Here is a 3,301-nt window from a genome sequence, read left to right on the forward strand (position 1 = left end):
GAATTATACCTATGTAGTATAGTAATAGTAACCTACATATATAGTATAGTAACCTACACTATAGACAGATACTCATATACACATATATAGGTCAGCCCCATATGGTAAAAGAAACAAGGCTCAAACAGCCAGAGAATGGGAGTAACCTCAACCTCTACACTCTGATGGTTGTCTGCAGGGCTACTGCTCCCCTGGCAAGTTCCTTAGCCTGTGAAATTCTCCTGAATTTGTCATGGGAAAACAGCTCCCTCTTTGCCTTTGTTGAAGATGAAACTCTCACAGTCACTCCATTCCTCTTTCTTTGTCCCTCTATCCAAATTATAAGCCTGTAATACTTTCATGAATATAAAACTTACATGAAACCATCCATTTATGCAATATATAATAAACTTCAGTAGTTTCTGGCTACTTTATCAACATGCTGGCCTTGTTTGCTTATCCCAAAAACTAAATTGGCATCAATGATGCTAAAATAATGGCAACATTAAAACAAAAAGCAAGCATATAGACCATGACCAGCTTAAGACAACATTGATAACAACAAGTAATTAAGTATTTTCCAAACCTCAAGTTTTTAAAACTATCTTTCAGTAGGTGTTCTGGAAGGACATCTGTAGGCAGACTACTTAGAATACTAATTTCAATCATTTAATAAATTTTACTATACACATGCATTAGTTTGAAAATATCAAATTTTAGTATCTAGTAGATTATAAGTGACTAACCCAATTTCTCCTATGTAAAAAATTAAAAGCCTACATAAAATTGTTCATCAATTGCCCAAAAGAACTGCATGAGGAATGTTTACTTTTTTCAGACAAGTTCGTATCCATTAAGAAGCTCCTCAAGTGTCCAATAAGGATGGTTGATCATTCTTTGAGTATTAAATGTATCTCTATCTATGTCCCCATCTATGTTAATTTTATGTCTACATCAATATCTTAACATTCTGGAAATATTAGGATTATAAACTTCTTAAGAATCCAATATTTCACCAACTCTACTCTTGTATCAAATGGCAGACAATAAAATACATAGGGGATGCAGGATGCCAGAGTTAGGAAAGAACCATGCAGATGAACAGAAAGAGGTAATATTTTCCTGAGCATGTTGACTTTGAATTTCTGTCACATAAAGGAATACATATTACAAAACCTCACTCAAATTCTACTTAAGTATTCTTAAGCCCTTTAATTTTTCCCTCTCTGGAAGGTCTTCCATTTTATTCTATTTCTACTATCGAGAGCATTACTTCTGGGCTCTTAGAGATGCTTTGTCTCTTCAAGAAATCCCAACACTCTTTAGTCACGTTGCACAATACAAGGGGAATAATGCTGTTGGTGCACCATGGCTGTACGTTTAACTGTATTACAAGGTAATAATGCCTTAACAATATTATTTTCAAGTAGGGTAGGCATGCTTTTGGAAGCACAAATCAGATAGTGAAATATATTAAATAGTTATTGCATGAGTCACTGATTTTCATCCCACGAAAAGCACCCTGCCATTTGGGGCACTGTTTTAGTCATATTCTACTTAGAAAAAAGGGAGCTCTGCAAGGTGTTTCAAGAACTGGGAGTCTAATTAAGCAAAGTGTTTATGCAGGTGTTGAAAAGCTGGAAAATCTAAAAGTATGAGAGGTTGGTAACTGCAGGAAGCTGCTATTGTCTGTAAGTGTGGGAAAGCAACAGGGGGATGTTGTCACAATTTACAAGTCAGAAGGAGAAGCCACTTCCTCAAAAGCTCCCATTGTCTGAAGAGTTGTCATAACTTCAGGAGATTCCACTATCTCAGGATCTAAGACACTGGATAAGTTACCACAGTTTCAGAGACTCTGGGTCAATGGAAGATATACTGACATATGAGTGAGTGCCAGGCTCTGCTGGGACATTTAAGAGAGTACCACTTTGCTATTGTTGGGACGACTGAGATCATGCCATGTACTTTTTCTGGGAATGATGAAACATGTTGAAGCTATAGTTATCAACTGCTGTTGAAAGGATTCTGACAGAAATTGGAAGCTGAAATTGAGTTTCTTCTCTTCTCCTTCTTTCCAAAATTCTTCAAGAGGCTCCCATGGGCCAAACCTAATGAGAAATGATCTGGTGAGGAGGTCTGGAAATGCAGTTTACAGACTCCTACCCCCATCATGATAGAGCAGGATAAGAAGGCTTGGTATGAGACTAAAAATGATAGGCGAGTAACTGGCACACTTTACCCCATTTCAGTGCATGGCATTTGCTCACACATTTCTATTCATATTTCAACTAACATATAACAATCATTACAACCTCATTCTTCCACTTAAAAAGATGCAACTATTTTTTTAAAAAAACAAAGTTGTCATACTTTCCTCAAAAACAAAACTTCCAACAGACACTATTAGTATTTGAGTGATGTAAATTCCTCTTATTTTTTTTTTTAAAGTTTACTTTAAGTTCTGGGATACAAGTGCAGAACGTGTAGGTTTGTAACATAGGTATATGTGTGCCATGGTGGTTTGCTGCACCTATCCACTTATCATGTAGTTTTGAAACCCTGCATGCATTAGCTATTTGTCCTCATGCTCTCCCTCCCCTCCCCTCACCCCCGAAACCCCTACTAGCCCTGTGTTGCTCCCCTCCATTTGTCCATGTGTTCTCATCGTTCAACTCCCACTTATGAGGTAGAAAATGCGGTATTTCATTTTTGTTTTTTGGTGTTAGTTTGCTGAGGATGATGACTTCCAGCTGTATCCATGTCCCTGCAAAGGATATAATCTCATTCCTTTTAATGGCTGCATAGTTATTCCATGGTATATATGTACCACATTTTCTTATTCCAGTCTATCATTGATGGGCATTTGGGTTGGTTCCATGTCTTTGCTATTGTAAGCAGTGCTGCAATAAACATATGTATGCATATGTCTTTATAGTAGAATGATTTATATTCCTTTGGGTATATACCCAGTAGTGGGATTGCTGGGTCAAATGGTATTTCTGGTTCTAGATCCTCGAGGAATCACTACACTGTCTTCTGCAATGTTTGAACTAATTTATATTCCCACCTACACTGTAAAAGCATTCCTATTTCTCCACAGCCTTGCCAGCATCTATTGTTTCTTGACTTTTTAATAATCACCATTCTGACTAGCATGAGATGGTATCTCATTGTGGTTTTGATTTGCATTTCTCTAATGATCAGTGATGTTGGGCTTTTTTTCATATGCTTGTTGGACGCTCCCATTGTCTGAGGAGGAGCTTAAAGTAAAGACATAAATATCTTTTTTTTGAGAAGTGTCTGTTCATATTCTTTCCCCAGT

At 37.0% G+C, this 3,301-nt stretch overlaps 1 annotated feature.

The window, feature by feature from the left end:
• Window positions 1,403-2,019: an enhancer, noted in NCBI's record as "OCT4-NANOG hESC enhancer chr11:96479048-96479664 (GRCh37/hg19 assembly coordinates)". NCBI's record gives its function as "activates a minimal SCP1, AML or CMV promoter by ChIP-STARR-seq in naive H9 embryonic stem cells {active_cell/tissue: H9 hESC(naive)}" and the evidence as "EXISTENCE:reporter gene assay evidence [ECO:0000049][PMID:30033119]".

This window comes from Homo sapiens, chromosome 11 (genome assembly GCF_000001405.40).
Source record: "Homo sapiens chromosome 11, GRCh38.p14 Primary Assembly".
NCBI lineage: Eukaryota > Metazoa > Chordata > Mammalia > Primates > Hominidae > Homo > Homo sapiens.